Source organism: Homo sapiens, chromosome 7, assembly GCF_000001405.40.
Source record: "Homo sapiens chromosome 7, GRCh38.p14 Primary Assembly".
NCBI lineage: Eukaryota > Metazoa > Chordata > Mammalia > Primates > Hominidae > Homo > Homo sapiens.
In genome coordinates, this window is record NC_000007.14 from 38029813 (window position 1) to 38049661 (window position 19849).

Sequence of the window (19849 nt, forward strand, 5' to 3'; positions counted from 1 at the left end):
CTCCCATTTGTCTCACTCCTCTGGTATTGATTGCATGAATATAAACCCCTGCACAGAGGGGTTTCCCATCTCAGAGTCCATTTTGTAGGGAACCTAAGCAAAGACAAGCATTTACCATGGAAGTTGACAAGCTGATCCTAAAATTTATATGAAAGTACAAAATCAGCAATAGCCAAGAAACTTCTGAAGACAAACCATGTTGGGAAATGGGTGGTGGTATTAAGTGGGCCTGCAATATCAGATATGAAGACTTATAAAGCTGTAGGAAATGGGACTGTATAATTCTGCTGCCAAAATTGATAAATAAGTAATGGAAAAGAATAGAGAACTGGACAAATACCTAAACATATGTGGAAACTCAATTCACAACAGTGTGCCTCAGATATCACTGAAGGAAGGATAGATTGTTTAGTAACTGTGTCTTGAGAATTCATTTATCATATATAAGAGAATATCTTTATGACATCAGAGTAGGGAAGAATTTCCTAAACAAGGTTCAACAAAGCATAAACCACAAAGAAGAAGATGAAGAAATTTGACTATATTAAAATTAAGAACTTCTTGTCATCAAAAGTCACCATAAACAGAATGAACAAGTAATCCACAAACTGGAAAAATATATTTGAAATTCTCAGTTACAAAGGATTGGTAACCAGCATATATAAGGAAATCTTATAAATGACTAAGAAAACACTAACACTTTCACTTCTATAATAAAAAAAGACATGAGCAGACATATTTTGTAACATGAACATAAATCTTTTAGAAACAACTTGTAATACAACTGGAAGTGTCTAAAAATTTATATTACCTAGATATATACCCATTGAGGCAGAAAAGGTGCTTGTTGGTTTTTAGACTCTGAATATAGACCACCACTCATACATATTGCTCATCTAGGAACCCTTCTGTATAATTTCCAGCGATTTCAACTCTCACTAAAATCTCATCTAAAAAAATACTCTTAACATACCGTTTAATTTAACTGTTAAGCAAAAGTTGGTTTCATCTCAACTAGATTTTTCAAGTACAATTCTTAAAAAATTAAAAGTATTTTACTGTTTTTAAAAAGCAAGCAATATATGCATCATACATATATGTAACTTATGCACACATTCACACATATACAGGTAATAGCTGTGAATGTATATTTTACATCTTTATACATTATAAATATGAGAATTTATTTTGAAAAATCAGCCCACAGGGAATTTATAATTCAATAGATTTGAAGTATGGCATCAACTCTCCAGAAAAGATCAGCTAGAAATGGAGTATTTGAGTTTACCTCTCTGGCTTCCCATTAGTACAGAAATATCAAAATATGTTACACATAGCCTGACTGTCTTCTAATGCTCAACCATTGGTAGCTATCTTTTCTAGTAAATCTCTATCTCAGTCCTTTTCCATAGAATACTTCAGGAAGCCACTATCAATTTTTCAGAGTTGGTTAAACAAATGAAACTCACTTGCCATCTCTACACTAGACCAAAAACCCTGATCAAATAGACTTTTTTTTTTCATTTTGCCTCTCAGGAACATTGCATTCCTATAACAACAGAGACAAAGCATTGTCTCTTCTCCCTGGGCACCCCTATTTGCAATCTCAAGCACTGAATCCTGGAATCTGAAGGACTTTGAAAAGCACACTGGCTTGAACTGCCATCTTCTAATGCTATAAGAGTTTGTTTTTGTAAAAGCCAGTCTTATTTTAATCCTAGTCACTTTAGTCACTGTAACCAAAATTATGTAAACTTTCTAAATAGACTAAATATTCTAAAAATACAGTGAAACACCAGCCTCCACACCAACCAAGTCACAATAGGGTGTCTGACCTAAAGCCACAAAATGAAAATATGATGGGAAAGTCATTTATCAAACTGCAGAGACCATAACATGCTCCTATCACTGTGTCAAAAGCAAAGGCAGCAACCAAATGGCTATTACTCAAAGTGATAACATTATCTTTGGGAAAGCATTTTATTTATGCATTCCTATAAGTGCTTATCATATTAGTTACAATTTATATTCAACACTATATGAATGTATTTTTGAACATTTTTCCATATTTTGGAAAATGATGAAACTATTTTCTACTTTGTAATTTTGTGTTCAGAATCTCCCTTGAAGAAATATGAGTGTGGGCAGTGGAAAAATAATTTGTTTCCATGTATTTGTTACCACTTATAGCACAGCCTTGAGTATTTTGAGTCCTAAATAAACTTCTCTGACCATAGGGAAGAATTGTGAAAACAAGTACATCAAACGTTATAATACAGACACAATTGCCTATATCTGCTGCCCACCTGCAAATGTAGTGTCCATAAGGCCTCTTTCTCAAGTATTGCATGTGGTACCCATGAGCTCATGAACAACCCCACTCAGCTGCCAGGTTCTGGTCACTGTCTCTCCCTCTCTCTCTCTCTTCTCCTGTAGCCTTGGCTAACAGAGGATCCCACTACTGATGCCTTTAAATTACAGAAGCACATCTGGTAAAATAGAGAAATGTGTTTTCTGTTTTGCTGCCACTTAATTTTGGAAAAGTAGCAAAGCCAACCTACTGCCTTATATCTGCTACACTGTCTGTACTTTCAAGTATTTTAGTATGAACAGATGATGTGTGTATAACTTTTCTTGAATCCAGTGTACTTAGTTATAAATTTTTTGTTTAGCTATAATTTACATACAGTAGACTTCACCCTATTAAGGGTACTGTGGTTTTACAGGTCCTCCCAAAGCAGATAACAATGTGGGAATCAACATGCATTATACTGGCAAGTGTTCTGTTTGAAATTTAGCCGTTGTAATAGGATTTTGTTTCCCACTGATAGTTTTTACATAAAACTGTATAATCCACCCTATGTGGCAGGTGGAGTCTCTAGAACAGATTTATTTTACATAGCTTGCCCAAAGCAAATGAAAGCTCATCTAATCTATCAAATGGTGTCTGTAACCACACATGATATCTTGTCTGCAGGATTCAGAGCCTTCCTTCAGCCAGTGATGGTCAGTTGTGCACATGGTTACTCAGAGGCAATAGAACGTGGCATATACTTCCTGCCTATCTCCTGTGTTCAAAAAGCTGATCAATATCACACAGCCTTGGAAACTTTTGTGCAGTGCTTAGTTTTGGATAGTGGGACTACAGAAAGTATGGAGAAGTAGAAAATAGAGATGAAAAGTTATCCACACTCTATTTAGTAAGCATATAATTTTTAATTGGGTTTGATGATGGTTGAAAGAAAAAAAAGAGAACATAAGCATATTTATTACCACGGAACTGGACACCTAAAACTGGTAAAGAGGGAAAATTGTTTAAAAGGTTGGGGTCGAGGAAGATTAATATCGAGGGCAGGTGATTGGTTCTGGTAATTAAAAAATGTAATTTTCTGTGGAGTCCTAAAACCAGATACAAGATGCTGATACAATAAAGAGTGAAAAGTAAAGGAGTATGGGCAGCCAACTTAGACTTATTTTCCTCCCAGCAATGAAGAGAAGGGAAAGAGTAGCAGCCTCCTTCAAACACCAGCCCAAGATCCAACTCTTCTTTGAAGCTTTCCTGAACTTCAAATGCCTGCTCTTCTTCCCCTTCCTTAGTAAACACATATCAAAATGTTACATTGTACCCCGTAAATAAATACAATTATTACTTGTCAATTGAAAATAAAATAAAATCAAAAAAAAAGAAAAATAACATCAATTAAGCCAGATGAGGCTACTGAAAAATAAGTTACATTTAATAAATTTTCTCTGCTGTGCTTCAGATGTAGGGATGACACAGTAAAAATCTGGGATCCTTTTTTTTTAGGACGATAGCATAAAATGCAGAAGAATAAGAAAATGTGAACGGCGTTCAATTTTCCTTCTTTTTTTTTTTTTTTTCTGAGACGGAGTCTCGCTCTGTCGCCCAGGCCGGACTGCGGACTGCAGTGGCGCAATCTCGGCTCACTGCAAGCTCCGCTTCCCGGGTTCACGCCATTCTCCTGCCTCAGCCTCCCGAGTAGCTGGGACTACAGGCGCCCGCCACCAGGCCCGGCTAATTTTTTGTATTTTTAGTAGAGACGGGGTTTCACCTTGTTAGCCAGGATGGTCTCGATCTCCTGACCTCATGATCCACCTGCCTCGTCCTCCCAAAGTGCTGGGATTACAGGCGTGAGCCACCGCGCTCGGCCAATTTTCCATCTTTATTATTCTGATTTCTGTTAAATTAGTAGAATGATTCTACTGAAAGCCAGCATTATTTATCATGATCTGACTCCTAAGGAATTCATTTGATGAGAGGAGGAGTCGGAGGGAAGTTAAACCAAACTTTTATGGAGTTTTCTTTTATTTGATTTGATGTTTTTGTCTTTTGTTTTTGGCTGGAGTTAGAGTACAGATAGGGAAAATGTGAAGCAGTAGAGAAATTGGATCATGTGACTTAAGGATAAATAACTGAGTAATATGGCCCCAATGAGACTTAGGAGTGGGAGTTGGAGGATGGGTGTGAGAGAGGTAAACTGAAAGCTAGTCCATGTTTGGTCTTTGTATTTTCACTTTTTTAATACAGTGTTACATTTGAAGTTGTATGATCCCTCTAGAAGATTATCGGTAGAATAGAGAAAGAAATACAGAAACCAGCCTTTATTTCAGAGTACTTATGTTTGTGTATGTGTAAACTGGCAAGCCATAAGCTCTAATGAGCTCCTATCTAACCATAGCATCAATGTTTATTGACCTCTCCTATAATTAAAATCACATGTCTCACCACAAGCAATGGGTGAGCCTTTGCTTACTTTAATAAGCTTGTAACCTAACTATCTGGCCACTTAAGTGCCACTGGCTCCGTGAATCGAATCAGCAGGAAGAAAGAAAAGAGCGTCAGTGTCAGAGTCCACTTTTGGCATTTAAGCTGACTCAACAATTTATTTTAAAAATTTACATAAACAAATTCCAACCTCAAATATTTTTCTCCCCACCTCAGGTCCATCAAATTACAAGTTAACTATTCATTCTAGTCAATTGAATAACTCAACAAACTAAAACTGTGTAACCATTTGTTTAAAGTGCAACTGATTTGGGAAATTCTACCTAGATGTTTTTATTAATGTCATGGAAAATTATATATATTAATACTATTCAACATTTAATCATCAGCCACTTTCTAAATACTTCGAAATGTCAGGGCAAATCTAAATTATCTAAATTTTAAAGAGATTAATCTAATTGCACCAAGTAGCAAGGAAGGAAGAAATTATTCAGAGTTAACTTCTTAGGCTATTCCAAGGAAAATGTGAATTACAACTGTATTTCCAATGGGTTCAAAATCAGAAGTTAATATTATTTCTCAAGTGAACAAACCTCTTTTTTAATGCTAATCTGTTGTTCACAGAATTACAAACTTATTGTATACTAATAGCCAAGATAAGAAAACAATCTAAGTGTCCATCAATGAATGAGTAGACAAAGAAATTATGAAACATACGTACGTATATATGTACAATGCAAAATTTTTCAGCCTTAAAAAAGAAGAAAATCCTGCCATTTGCAATAACATGGATGAACTTGGAGGACATTACACCAAGTGAAATAAGGCATACACAGAAAGACAAATACTGCATTATATCACCTACATGTGGAATCCAAAATAGTCAGACTTAGAGAAACAGAGAGTAGCATGGTGCTTGACCAGAGCTGGGGAGCTGGGGGACTGGGGCAGTGTTGTTCAAAGAGTACAAACTTCCAGTTTTAAGATGAATAAGTTCTAGAGATCTAATACATAACATGGTATATAGTTAATAGTGATGTATCATATACTTGAAATTTGCTAAGAGAGTAGATCTTAAGTATTCTTACCACAAAATATGATAATTAGGTCAGGTGATAGATACGTCAGCTTGATTGTAAGAATCATTACACAAGATATATCAAAACACCATGTTATATACCTCAAATAAATAGAATTTTTTATTTGTCAATCACAAGTCAATTTTTTAGAAAAAGACTGAAAAGGTTGCTACAAATAGTTAAAGATAAATAATTGGTGAAACACAAATGAATGCATTCCAGCTAAGTGAATTCATTCCATTACACATTTAGTTGAGATACTTAATTAATACCTTCCAAGTTAGGTCAGCATTGATTTAACAAGTACTGCATGCCTTTCTCCACCCATTCTGAGATATCAGATAGATAGATAGGTAGGTAGAGAGATGGATAGATAATAGAATTGTAGTGTTTGTTATAATTCATCATACGTATTTGAGGTTACTGCCTACACATTCTAACTGACATCTATAAATTAATGTTTGATCACTGGATTTCCAAGTTGCCAATGTCTAACTCTCTTCTTCGATGAGGTTGAAGCTTGATACATTATCAATCCATGTTCCAGATAATATTTTGTTACTACATCTCAGTTTGTCTCAGAGTATTATGGTCTGTAAACAAGCAACCATATTAAAATATAGCTGGGGATAAAATTAACAAATTTTAGATATAGTCATTGTAAGAGCCAGATATATATTTGATGTAACACCCTTCTATTAAGGACGCTATCTTGCAATGTTTTTTGTCTTCATCATGAAACAAGGGAAATATTTGTAGACCTAAATTTTTGGTTAAGTAGATGGAAGCATTTCTCCAGAGGTTTCTGATATATGGTAATAAGTCCGTGACCAATGCAATAAATGTTCACCAAAAGACTGCAAGACATGTATCCATGCTCAAGGAAACACAATGCAATGATAGGAGGAAGAGAAATTTAGAATAAAAAGACTATAGAATTAACTTATGTAGAAATAAGTGACTTTATTGAAGTGCTTCATGTCTCAACCTATTTTAAGGAGGATACTATTTAGAATAAGCACATGTAATACTAACCTTCTTTCCAAAGAAAACTGAATCCAGTTGATAAATTTTTATCACGTTCTTAATAATATTTGTAGTGAAAGAGCTTAGTGTTTTTTCTCCCTGTGTTACATGGTCTAGACTTATAAAAGCATGACTTTATTTTCAGTGATTGAAACTGTAAACTCATCAGTTCATTATTAATTATATTTGGTTGAAACAAAATTCAGAAAGTAAACCACTCTTCTTGATATAAATCATTGAGGGTTTAAAATTAAACTAGAAGAGAAGCTTCTGTTTCATAAGTAAAATAATGAATATAAAAACATTCTTTCTGCATCACAGACCCCTTCTAGGAGCCAGAATCTAGTGAAATATCCAGACTTTCCCTCCAAAAAATACATATTCAAACTAAATATTGTATAACAACTTTTCTGCAAGCTTGAAAAATCTTTGAAGTAGAAGCTAGGACCAAGTTAAAGAATACATGCATGCAACAAGAATCTCTGCATAATTATGTTTATTATTGCAAGACTGAGCCACAATTTGGCTAAGATTTCTAGCAGCCAGGGGGGATAACGGAAAGCCTAGTTATGATGACTGTCATCAAGAGAAGGAAACATGGCACTTAAGAAAAACAAAGTTTTGCTTAGAAATGAATTATAAATAATTTCCCCTGGGACTGTTTAGTAAACTTTACTTTGGAAACTCTGTATAATCTCAAATGCAATTTTCATGTACTTTTTTATTTTGACCACTTAACAAAATAAGAAGACATAAGATTACTAGGAAACAGCCTGCTGGTTGTCTGAGTCATAGAGAATATGCACTCAACTTACCCTATTGTCAATCGTGTCTATACTTGGACTATGTTCACAAAAATTTGCTTTCTCACTCAAAGTTGGGTTACTGATGGGCACAATTCAGATATCAGCCCTCTGGAAACTTCTGACACATTTGGTCTTATAGAAGATACGAAAAGAAGAAACAACATATGTATAATAAAAAGAAAATCCAAGTAATGAAGTTAGAGAAATATGAAAAAAATCTATAATTAAAAACAAACTTTCCTAAAGTTAAGTGTGTATACATATGTATATGTGTGTGTGTGTGTGTATATATATATATGTTAACAAGTCACATCATGTATTTGGGAAAGTAGACTGAGAACACTGAGAAACTTCTACTAAAATGATTAGTATTTTAAAAAAGTTAATGAATTATTTTTGTATTTGTACAAACTATCTAAGTCACTTGTAACAAATAGATTAGACTGTTTAAAATTTTCAATAGCAATACTTTATGCCTTCTAGAGAAAACTAGAAAATAAAATCTGGGCCGGGTGCAGTGGCTCACACCTGTAATCCCAGCACTTTGGGAGGCTGAGGTGGGCAGATCACGAGGTCAGGAGATCAAGACCATCCTGGCTAACACAGTGAAACCCTGGCTCTACTAAAAAAATTACAAAAAATTAGCCAGACATGGTGGCAGACGCCTGTAGTCCCAAATACTCGGGAGACTGAGGCAGGAGAATGGCGTGAACCCAGGAGGCGGAGCATGCAGTGAGCCGAGATGGTGCCACTGAACTCCAGCCTTGGCGACACAGCAAGATTCCGTCAAAAAAAAATAAAAAATAAATAAAAAGCAAAAAGAAAAAAGAAAAAAAAAAGAAAAGAAAATCTGAGCCAAGTATTTTATAACTGGTTTTCAAGTGTAAAGCCAAACTTTTATGGACATCCAATGAGTTATTCCTGAAGTATCTCCTAGAGAGTAACTTTCAGACAATTAAAATGACTAGAAATGTATCAACTTAAGGTCTGGTGGTGAGCATTGGTATATAGTTAATTGTAGCACTATGAATATGTGATTGTAATAAAATAAAAAATATAGTATGTAGTAGTTATACATACCAATCCTAATGTTGCTATCTCACTCTAAGGGCACAGAGTGAGTAGGGTGAAGGAACAAGGATAGGAGATGGATTCACTGAATATATCTTGTTTTACAGAATTGACTTTGAAACCATGTAAGCATTTTACATGATAAAAAGTGCACTTTAAAAATTCCTAAAAATATTTAAATAAAATAAATAAATATAAATGTGTAACTAGTTGTTGGCATAATCACACAGAAAATAACTAATCCAAGTAACTTTAAAAAATAGTGTGTAACTGTACATCTCTAATGATATATTCCCTAAGGACAAAAAAAATACTCCATTGTATTCGTCCATTTTCACTTTGCTTATAAAGACATACCCAAGACTGGGCAATTCACACACACACATACAAAAAGAGGTTTAATGGACTTACAGTTCCATGTGGCTGGGAAGGCCTCACAATCATGGTGTAAGGTGAAAGGCAAGTTTCACATGGCAGCAGACAAGAGAAAAGAGCTTGTGCAGGGAAACTCCCCTTCATAAAACCATCAGATCCTGTCAGACTTCCTCACTATCACGAGAATAACATGAAAAATACCCACCCCCAAGATTCAATTATCTCCCACCAAGTCCCTCTCAAAACGTGGGAATTATGGGAGCCACAATTCAGGATGAGATTTGGGTGGGGACACAGCCAAACCATGTCATCCACAGAAAGTACAGACAGTTTTCAGTAATAATATATAGGTGGTAGTCAGGCAGGCTAGGTAGTTAAGGAAGTGACCATGTCCTTGGGATGCAGCAACCATGGTGACTGTACGATCAACACTATAAGCCTCAGCATTTGCTTTGTAGTTAAGCTCATTTGAGAAAAGCTGTCTTCAGTAGGACCTTTTACTCCTTAATTTGAAATATCAATTAAATTGATGACATTTTCTGCTTAAAAAATTCTAATTTTTCAACTGAAAAGGCCTAGAAATACTAACACACTCGGTAGCATTAAGTGCCCTCAATACTCAAAGTTTGGTGTTGAAATCCAATTTCCTTCAAAAAGGAACCAGAGCTCCCCAGAGAAATGGCTACGGCCAGGTTGGGGACAGGAAATATACAAGATCATCTTGGAAACTCTTGTCACACCAGATGACAAGGAAGCTATCAAAGATTACTAGCTTTAGGTCAAAGACTTGAGAGTCAACTAACAGAGACTGTCAAAGATGAGGTAATATGAGGATCAATTAGGGAAAAACTGCAAAAGACTGAAATACATCAAATAAATTTAAACCTGTGAGTTCAAAGTAATACTGAAAAAGCATTGGTTAGTAACCGGGAGACATTAATGAACCAACTCATTATTTTGAAAACTCATAGACAACAGAACCCCTGGGTAATCAAATAGTAGACAAGAGCAAGATTTTCTTTATTGTGGCATTTCAGCAAATTAATGAAAAATAAATTATAGAGTTGGCATAGTGCCTTTTTGTAACTCAAAATGAATTATGGATGTAGGCATGAAGCATCAATTATTGCCGATATCAAAAAGGGAAAAATAACCAGATATCTGATGCCTCCTGATGGAGAAACAAAGCACCTCTTATAAAGGAGTCTTTTCAGAAAAAGCAGACCTGAATCTGATCAGTCCTCTATATGCAATTACTAACTACAGAAAATACAAAGGACAGAGAACATGTTAAACTACATTATGGGGTTGCAAGCAGAAAAATCCTGCAGGACAAATAATTGTGTTTCTTCAGCAAATAAATTGCCAAGGGTGAAAGAAAGATGGAAAGAGGAAACCAATAGGTGATAAAAGATTTAAAAAGTGTATAAAGTACATATTAAGGATTACATGTAGGCATTATTTGGATCCTGATTCAAAGAAACTAGAAAAAATTGTAACACTAAAAAGTTAATTGGAGTCACTTGTCTTTCAAGCTGCTCACTTGGCCCTCTTCCAAGTGTACTTTTCTTCCTTTTATTCAAAAAGAAAAAAAAAGATAATTGGAAATTTGAACAATGACTTAATATTTGATGATATTCAGGAATTAAATTTTTAAGGTATAATAATGGTATTGTTGTTATGTCAAAAGAAAATAATTTTTCCTTTTAGAGTTACGTACTGAAATGTTTATTTATAAAGTAAAATGTCTGGATTTAGTGCAAAATAATTTGGGATGGGGAATACGAGTAAGGGTATACATAAAACAAGTTTGCTGAAGCTAGATAATGGCATATAGGGGGTTTATTATCTGATCCTTTTTTTACATTTTTGAAATGATCAAAATTAAAATCTTTAAAATAAAAACCCATGCATTTGGTAGGTTTTCCTACATGCCATTGCCTTGCCCCCAGGGCACTGAAAAGATGTGCTATTTTCTCCATTTTCTGTGAAAAGCAGTCAGTGAGGCATGAGAGACCAGCAAGGGTTAAAGAGGGCCAGTGGCTGATACATCTGGGGAGCATTAGCTATATTAAGGACAAGCCAGCATAAAAAGGTAACCGGAAGAAGCAGCTGAGTACTCTCTGGTCAGGCCTTGAGGTCATCTGAATGGAGGGACTGCGGTTTACAGTCTAGCAAGGGACATGTATCATTTCAGCGCTTTGTTTCAAACCGCAACACAAGAGTTTCACTGGTTTGGAATTGATTCAAAGCTGAACAGAAAACTTCTTTATTCTCAATCAGCAAGTTTAAATATTTTGTATTACACCTTTCAGGAAAGAATATGCAGGATTTATGTTTATAGTAACAAAAATTTCATGTCTTTTAGATTTTTGTGTGTTGCAGAAATTCCCATTGGCCATACATGTGAATATAATGATAAACACTTGTTTTAATTGCTATCTCAGCAACAAATATGTAAAATATTTATTATGTGACAACATTGGGAAAAGCATAGGAATTACTGTAGGGGCCGGGTGGAATTATAGGGGTTCTTCAGTTTCATGGAAAGTGGGACTTTGAAATCAATCAAAAATTGTCTAAGATCTTGACTCTGCCATTTCTCAGCTTGTTGAGTTGGGTATTCTTTATCTTGTACTTTGCTTCCCTCACCTGTCAAACACTATTGCAGTGAGGTTTAAAGATAATGCCTAAAGCACATAGCCTACAGTATACATTCAATATGTGGAAGAATGGTCATTTTCACATTTGCTTTCTTATGATCAGCAACTTCCGCCACTTGACTTTGAGTAAAGGCATTTTTGGATATTAGACCTCTTTCTCCTTATGTAAATATCACTACTTGGTGCTCCTATAGACGATCAACTCAACCTCTTGAAGAAAAACCTGAAACAAATCAATAGTGACAGATAACTTTTCTCTTATAGTAAAAAAATTTAAATTTAGTGGTTTTTTATATAATTATATGTTATTAAAACTGAAGTATTTATGAGTTTTCATATTTCAGTATTTAGATAACTAATACTAAGAGGGAGGCAAAGGTAAGTACACTAGATTATGCTATTAGAGAAAATATAGCCCTGCCTTAGTTCTAAAGGACACAGAATACAGAATATGCCACACTGCATAGTTTAAGCTAAATATGTAGGAAATGGCCTCTCTTCCTGGTCTTTTGTTTTAAAATCAGCAGTGAATAATTAAAATGCAATTAAACACATTGAAGCAACCTTAAGGCACATAACCTCAGGCTATGCTTGTAACCAGCTGTTTTGGACTGCTTTCTATGAAGTATACACTTGATTGATCATTGCTATATAGTATAAAGAATTTACTTTAGAATCAGAAGATATGAGCTCAATCAAGTCTTTTTTGATCTGCCCTTTTCTAGCTTGATGGGCAAAAATCTCCTTATGCTTTATTTATTTTACTTGTTAAATGTACCCATCTCTTAGGATTAGTTCTGAGTGTACTGTAAAGCATTAAATAAGTAAACGTTCTCTCTTGAAAACAAGTACACATGCACAGAAAATTTTCTATTTCTGAAACAGATCATGTTCCCATTCTGACTGTATTGAATGATATAAATATGCAGGGAAAAAAAAAAGCCTTTTTACTCTCCATCATGGAATTCAGTGAGTGGTGATGAGTATTCCTGTCCGTGTTGAGGAGAAAATGTTTTAATAAAAAGAGGGAACTAGGAAGAGGTTAAATCCCACAGACAGATGTGAGTGAGATTGTATTAAAAAAAAACAAGAGGAGGTAATCATTCTATATCTAGACTGTAAATTTTATTCAAACTACATGTTAAAATGAGGTCGTTTCACTTACAGTAAAAGCTAAGGCCATCAAGGGTTTTCTGTTGACCCATCTGGCATTTAATGTAGGACAGGAGTTTCCAAAGCAAAGGAGCTGGTACTTTACACAAAAGTTAGAAAGGCCACAAGGTTACTCTACAAATTTATGGACCTACTTTCATTTCATAGTGACTAAGGACTGGGCGCTGGGAAATATCCTTTTTTATTGCACTCAGCATATTTATTATATAAACAATCCAAATTCATTGCAGAATAATTAAAAGTAGTAGAGAATAAATAAATAGTGTTGCCTAAAGCCCCACCATTCAGAGGTCATCACCACTTTTACGTACTGATGTATCTCTATTCAGATATTATAAAAACATATGAATATATTTTATAAAACTTTAACCAGCCCGGTATGTTTCATGACTTATTTTTTTCACTTGATACTCTTTTAAATATTTTCAAAAACATTTAATATCGATCTACATTAAGAAATATCATAACATAGTATTCTGTTGTATGGAGTATGAATGTTCTTAACCAATTTTCTGTCATATATTATTTTTTGTTGATTTTTTGAATATATATCTTTATACTAAGGAAATATGTGTCAAAATTCTTAGAAGTAGAATTTTTGTATGTTTTAAATTGTTTTTCCTAATGTCCCACAGTTTATGCTCCTTAAAAAACGAGTACTTTATTGACTTTTCATTGCAGACTTTCTTATATCCATGGCAGACTTTTCTGTTAGTGACATGGTTTGTTTTTGTTTTTTTTTTTTAGTCTGCAATTCTCCTTAAAAAGGATTTCTGTCACATGGCAAAATGTTTTGTCAGATATCAGTTCTGGCCGTTGGTGACAGAGTCATGGAATATAAAAAGACATCGAGAAGAAATATGTGTGATCTGGAATCGTGACCTTACAAGTGCATCTGCAACGTTGGCTGTGTTTGAGCAAGTGAATCTATATGACTAGAATTTTTTAATTGATACATGACATTTGTACATATTTATGGGGTACCTGTGATATTTTGTTACATGCATAGAATGTTGAATAACCAAGTCATGGTATTCTGGGTATGCATCGCCTAGAGTATTTACCGTTTCTATGTGTTGGGGACATTTCAAGTCCTCTCTCCTAGCTATTTTGAAATATACAATGCATTGTTGTTAACTATAGTCACACTATTCTGCTGTCAAACATCAGAACATTTCTTCTATCTAACTGTATGTTTGTACCTATTAACCAACCTTTCTCTTCATCTTCCCTCAACCCACATACCCTTGTTAGCCTCAGCTATCTACTATTCTAATACCTACTTCCGTGAGATCAACTGTTTTAGTTCCCACAAACAAGTGAGAACATGCAGTATTTCTCTTTCTATGCCTGGCTTATTTCACTTAATATAATGACCTCTAGTTCCATCTGTGTTGCTACACATGACAGGATTTCATTTTGTATGACCAAACAGCATTACATATATATATATATATATATATATATATATATATATATATATATCCCTTTTATATATATATACACACACACACATATATCCCTTTTATATATATATACATGTATATACATACATATATACATGTATATACATATATACATATATATGTATATATATAATCTGTATATACATATATGTGTATATATAATCTGTATATACATTTATATGTGTATATATAATCTGTATATATATATATATATATATATATATATATATATATCCCTTTTCTTTATCCAGTCATCCTTTGATGGATGGAAGTTAATTCCACATCTTTGCTATTGTGAATAGTACTGCAATAAATATGGGAGTGAAGGTATCCCTTTGATATACTGATGTCTTTTCCTTTGGATAAATACCCAGTAGTTGCATGGCTGGATTGTATGGTAGTTCTATTTTTAGTTTTTTGAAAAATTTTTATACTGTTTTCCACAGCGGCTGTACTAATTTGCATTCTCACCAACAGTGTGTAAGTCCCCTTTTCTCTGCATCTTCACCAGCATCTGCTATTTTTTTAAAATAATAGCCACCGTAGTTGGGATAAGAGAATATCTCATGTGGTTTTGATTTGCATTACCCTAACAATTAGTGATGTTGAGCATTTTTCATATACTTATTGGTCATTTTTATGTCTTCTTTTAAGAAAGGTCTATTCATGTATTTTGCCCATTTTTAATGAATTATTTATGTTTTGCTATTGAGTTGCTTTAGTTCCTTATGTATTCTGAATATCAGTTCCTTGTCAAATGAATAGTTTGTAAATAGTTTCTTTCAGTCAACCATGTCTCTTTTGATTGTTTGCTTTGATGTGAAAAAGCTGTTTGGTTTAATATACTCCAATTTCTCTATTTTTGTTTTTGTTGTCTATGCTTTTGAGGACTTAGCCGTAAAATCTTTGACGAGTTAACGGGTGCAGCCCACCAACATGGCACATGTATACATATGTAACAAACCTGCACGTTGTGCACATGTACCCTAAAACTTAAAGTATAATAATAATAAAATTTAAAAAAAGTCTTTGCCTAGACCTGGCATTTCCCCTGTGCTTTCTTTCTTCTAGTAGTTTTATAGTTTTGGGTCTATGTATTTAAGTATTTTATCCATCTGGAGTTGATTTTTGCATATGGTGAGAGAGAGGGGTCCAGTTTAATTCTTTTTCATATGGATATCCAGTTTTCCCAGAACCATTTATTGAAAAGGGTGTCCTTTCTTCAATGTATGTTCTTGGTGCCTATGTCAAAAATCAGTTGGCTGTAAATATGTGGATTTATTTCTGGGTTCTCTATTCTGTTTAATTGGTCTATGTATTTTCTATTATACTGATACCATGCTGTTTTGCTTGCTAAAGCTTTGTAATATATTTTGAAGTACAATAGTGTGATGCCTCCAGCTTTGTTTCTTTTTCTTGAGATTGCTTTGGCTATTAAGGTTTTTCTTAGTTCTGTATGAATTTGAGGATTTTTTTTCTATTTCTGTGAAAAATGACATTGGTATTTTGATAAAGGTTGCTTTGAATCTGCATTGCTTGAGGCAACATGGTTAGTTTGATTATATTAATTCTAATAGTCCATGAACAGGCATGTCCTTCCATTTGTTTGTATCCCCTTCAATTTCTTTCATCCATGTTTTGTGGTTTTCCTTGTAGAGGCCTTTCACCTCCTTGGGTAAACTCATTCTTAGAATTTTTTTTAGCTATTATAGATGGAATTGCCTTATTGATTTCTTTCTCAGCTAGTTTATTATTCATATGTAGAAACTCTAATAATTTTTGTATGTTGATTTTGTATCCTGCAATTTTACTGAATTTATCAGATCTAATAGTTTTTTGTGAAATCTTTAGGTTTTTCTAGATATAAAACAATATCATCTGCAAAGAGGGACAATTTGACCTCGTTTTTCCAAGTTGGATGTCTTTATTTCTTCCTCTTGACTGACTGCTCTGGCTAGGACCTCCAATATTATGCTAAATAGGCATAGTAAAAGTGGGCTTCCTTTTCTTGTTACAGTTCTTAGAGGAAAAGTTTCAGCTTTTACATTTGATAAGATGTTAGCTGTGGATTTGTCCTATTTGGACTTTATTATGTTGAGGTGTGTTCCTTCTGTGCCTAGTTTGTTGAGAGTTTTTTTTTTTTTTATCGTAAGGGTAGGCTAAATGTTATCAAATGCTTTTTCTGCATCTATTGAGATGATCATATGGTTTTTGTCTTTTGTTCTGTTGATGTGATATATCTTGTTTATTGATTTTCATATATTGAATCATTTTTGCATCCCTGAAATAAATTCCACTTGGTCATGGTGTATTATCTTTTTCATGTGCTGTTGGATTTAATTTGCTAGTATTTTGTTAGTGATTTTTGTATCTATGTTCATCAGAAACAGTGGCCTGTGGTTTTGTATTTTTGTTGTGTCCTTGTTTGATTTTGGTATTAGGGTAATGTTGGCCTCATATAATGAGTTAGAGAGAATTCTCATCTCTTCAATTTCTTGGGATAGTTTGAGGTGAATTTGTGTTAGGTCTTTATAAGTTTCATAGAGTTTGGCAGTGAAGCCATCTAGTCCCAGACTTTTCTTTGTTGGGAGACTTTTTATTACTGATTCAACCTCATTACTCACTATTAGTCTGTTCAAGTTTTTTAAATTTTTGCTGATTCAATTTTTGCAGTTGTGTGTGTTCAGGAATTTATCCATATTCTCTAGGTTTTCCAGTTTGTTAGTGTGTGGTTGTTCATAATAGTCTCTGAAGATGTTTAGTATTTTTGTGGTATCAGTTGTAATGTCTCCTTTTTCATTTCTGATTTCATTTATATGGGCCTTCTCTCTTTTTTGTGGATAATCTAGAGAGTCATTTATTGATTTTGTTTACCTTTTTTAAAAAAACTTTTTTGTCTTGTTGATCCTTTGTATTTTTTAGTTTCTATGTTATTTAGTTCTGCACTGATATTTATTATTCCTTTTCTCTATTAATTTTGGGTTTCGTTTGTTCTTGTTTTTCTAGTTCCTAAAGGTGAATTATAACATTGTTTAGTTGACATTTTTCTGCTTTTTTGATGTTGGCCTTTATTACTATAAACATTCCTTTTAACATTGCTTTTTTTGTATCTCATAGGTTTTGGTACGTCATGTTTTGATTTTCATTTGTTTCAAAAAAATTTTTATTTTCTCCTTAATTGCTTCTTTGACCCAATGGTCATTCAGAAACATGTTGTGAAATTTCCATGTATTTGTAAAGTTTCCAATATTCCTCTTGTTACTGATTTCTAGTTGCATTTCATTGTTATCTGAAGAGATACTTAATGTGATTTTGATTTTTAAAAATTTATTGACATTGTCCTAACATATGGTCTATCCTGGAGAATGTTCCATGGGCTGATGAGAAGAATGCGTATTCTGTAACTGTTGGATGAAATGTTCTGTAAAAGTCTTTTAGGTACATTTGGTCCAAAGTACCTTTTAAGGAAAATGATTTTTTGATTGTTGTTGTTAATTTTCTGTCTAGATAGTCTAATACTGACAGTGGTATATTGAAGTCTATAAGTATTATTATATTGGATATATACTCTTCCTTTAGATCTAATACTAGATCTAACACTGGGTACTCTGGTGTTGGGTGCATGCATGTTTAAGAATTGTTATATCGTTGCTGAATTGATCTTTTTATCATTATCTAATGACCTTCTTTGTCTATTTTTACTGTTTTTGACTTAAAGTTCAGTTTATCTAAATATAGCTATTTCTGCTCACTTTTGGTTTCCATTTGCATGGAATATCTTTTTTCATCTCTTTACTTTTAGTCTATATGTGTCTTTACAATTGAGATGAGTTTCTCTTACATAGCATATAGTCATATGGGTTTTTTTTTTTAAAGTCCATTCTGTCAGTCTGTACCTTTTAATTGGCAAGTTTAATCTGTTTACATTCAACAATATTATTGATACATGAAGACTTATTTCTGATATTTTATTGATTTAGGATTGTTTTGTATGTCATTTGTTCCCTTCTTTCTCTTATATTGTTTATCATTGTAGTTTGGTGATTTTCTGTAGTGGTAAATTTGAGTCCCTTCTTTGCATTTCTTTGCCTTAAACACAAATTTGCTCTACCTGTGGTTTTATACTTTTGTGTATTTTCATGATGGTAGATATCATTCTTTTTCCTCCAGGTGTAGAACTCCCTCAGGCATTTTTTATAGGACCAGTCTAGTGATGATGAATTCCTTCAGCTTTTACTTGTCTAGGAAAGACTTTATTTCTCCTTCATTTGTGAAGGATAACTTTGCTGGGTATAGTATCCTTAGATATTTCTCTTCCAGCATTTTGAATATATCATTCCATTCTCTACTGGCCCGTAAGATTCCTGCTGAGAAATCCTCTGTTAGTCTGATGAGGGTTTCCTTACACATAAGTAGATGGTTTCCTGTTACTTTTAGAATTTTCTCTTTGTCTGTCACTTTTACCAATTTGACTATAATGTGCTATGGAGACAGCCTTTTGAAATTGTATCTCTTTTGAGATCTCTGAGCTTCCTTTATCTGGATGTCTAAATTTCTTGCCAGACTTGGGAATTTTTCAGCTATTATTTCATTACATAGATTTGTTTTATTCTTTTTATTTTAAATTCGTCTTTTGGGACACCTAAATTTTGAGTATTTGGTTGCTTTATGGTGACCTATATGTCACATAAGTTTTGCTCATTCTTTTTCATTCTGTTTCAAATATTTGTCTGACTGGATTATTTCAAAAGACATGTCTTCATGGTCTCAAATGTTTTCTTCTGCTTGATCTAGCCTATGGTTGAAGCTTTGAATGTAATTTTACTTCATTCAATGAATTTTTTTTTCCAGAATTTTTGTTTGGTTTCTTTTTATGGTATCTATCTTTTTGGTAAATTTTTAATTCATATCCTGCATTGTTTTTCTGATTTCTTTGTACTGTTTTTATGTGTTCTTTTGTATCTCACCAAGCTTCTTTAATATTATTTTGAATTCTCTTTTGAGGATTTCATAAATTTATTTTTTGCTGGAGAATTATTGTGTTCCTTTAAAGGTGTCATATTGCCTAGATTTTTTCATGTTCCTTTTGTCCTAATATTTATTTCTGTGCATCTAGTGTAATAATGACTTCTTCCATTTTTTAAAAATTTGCTTTTGTAGGGCAGGACATTTTCCTGAAGGTGTATTTATGGTGTTAATTGTGCAGGGCACTTTGACTTTGATTCTGGGGGCCAAATCATTCTGAATGATTTATTTATCTGTGAATAGCATCAGTGGTATTTGTGATTTCTGCAGTGGCATTGGGTGTGGTTGCAGTAGAGGCTGTGGTAAAGTTGTTCTGGAAACCAGGATTCCAGGTGGGCCAGTTTTCAGGCTCCAGTAGTGGTGAGAGGTGACAATGTGCTAGCAGCCCTCACTCTCTCTCAGGCCTCCTTGGCCTCAG

The 19849-nt window shown here is 33.8% G+C and overlaps 1 long non-coding RNA gene across 1 annotated transcript in view, besides 1 other annotated feature; it reads left to right on the plus strand.

Moving 5' to 3' along the window:
- Window positions 1-14323, plus strand: part of LOC105375236 (uncharacterized) — a 40878-nt gene extending 26555 nt beyond the window's left edge. Inside the window, exon 3 of the long non-coding RNA XR_001745170.2 lies at window positions 13688-14323. This is a non-coding gene — a long non-coding RNA (uncharacterized LOC105375236). The remainder of the gene's footprint in view (window positions 1-13687) is intronic.
- Window positions 2902-3102: a silencer, noted in NCBI's record as "peak6492 fragment used in MPRA reporter construct". NCBI's record gives its function as "represses an SCP1 promoter by STARR-seq MPRAs in K562 erythroleukemia cells {active_cell/tissue: K562}" and the evidence as "EXISTENCE:reporter gene assay evidence [ECO:0000049][PMID:32103011]".
- Window positions 14324-19849: the final 5526 nt, after the last annotated feature.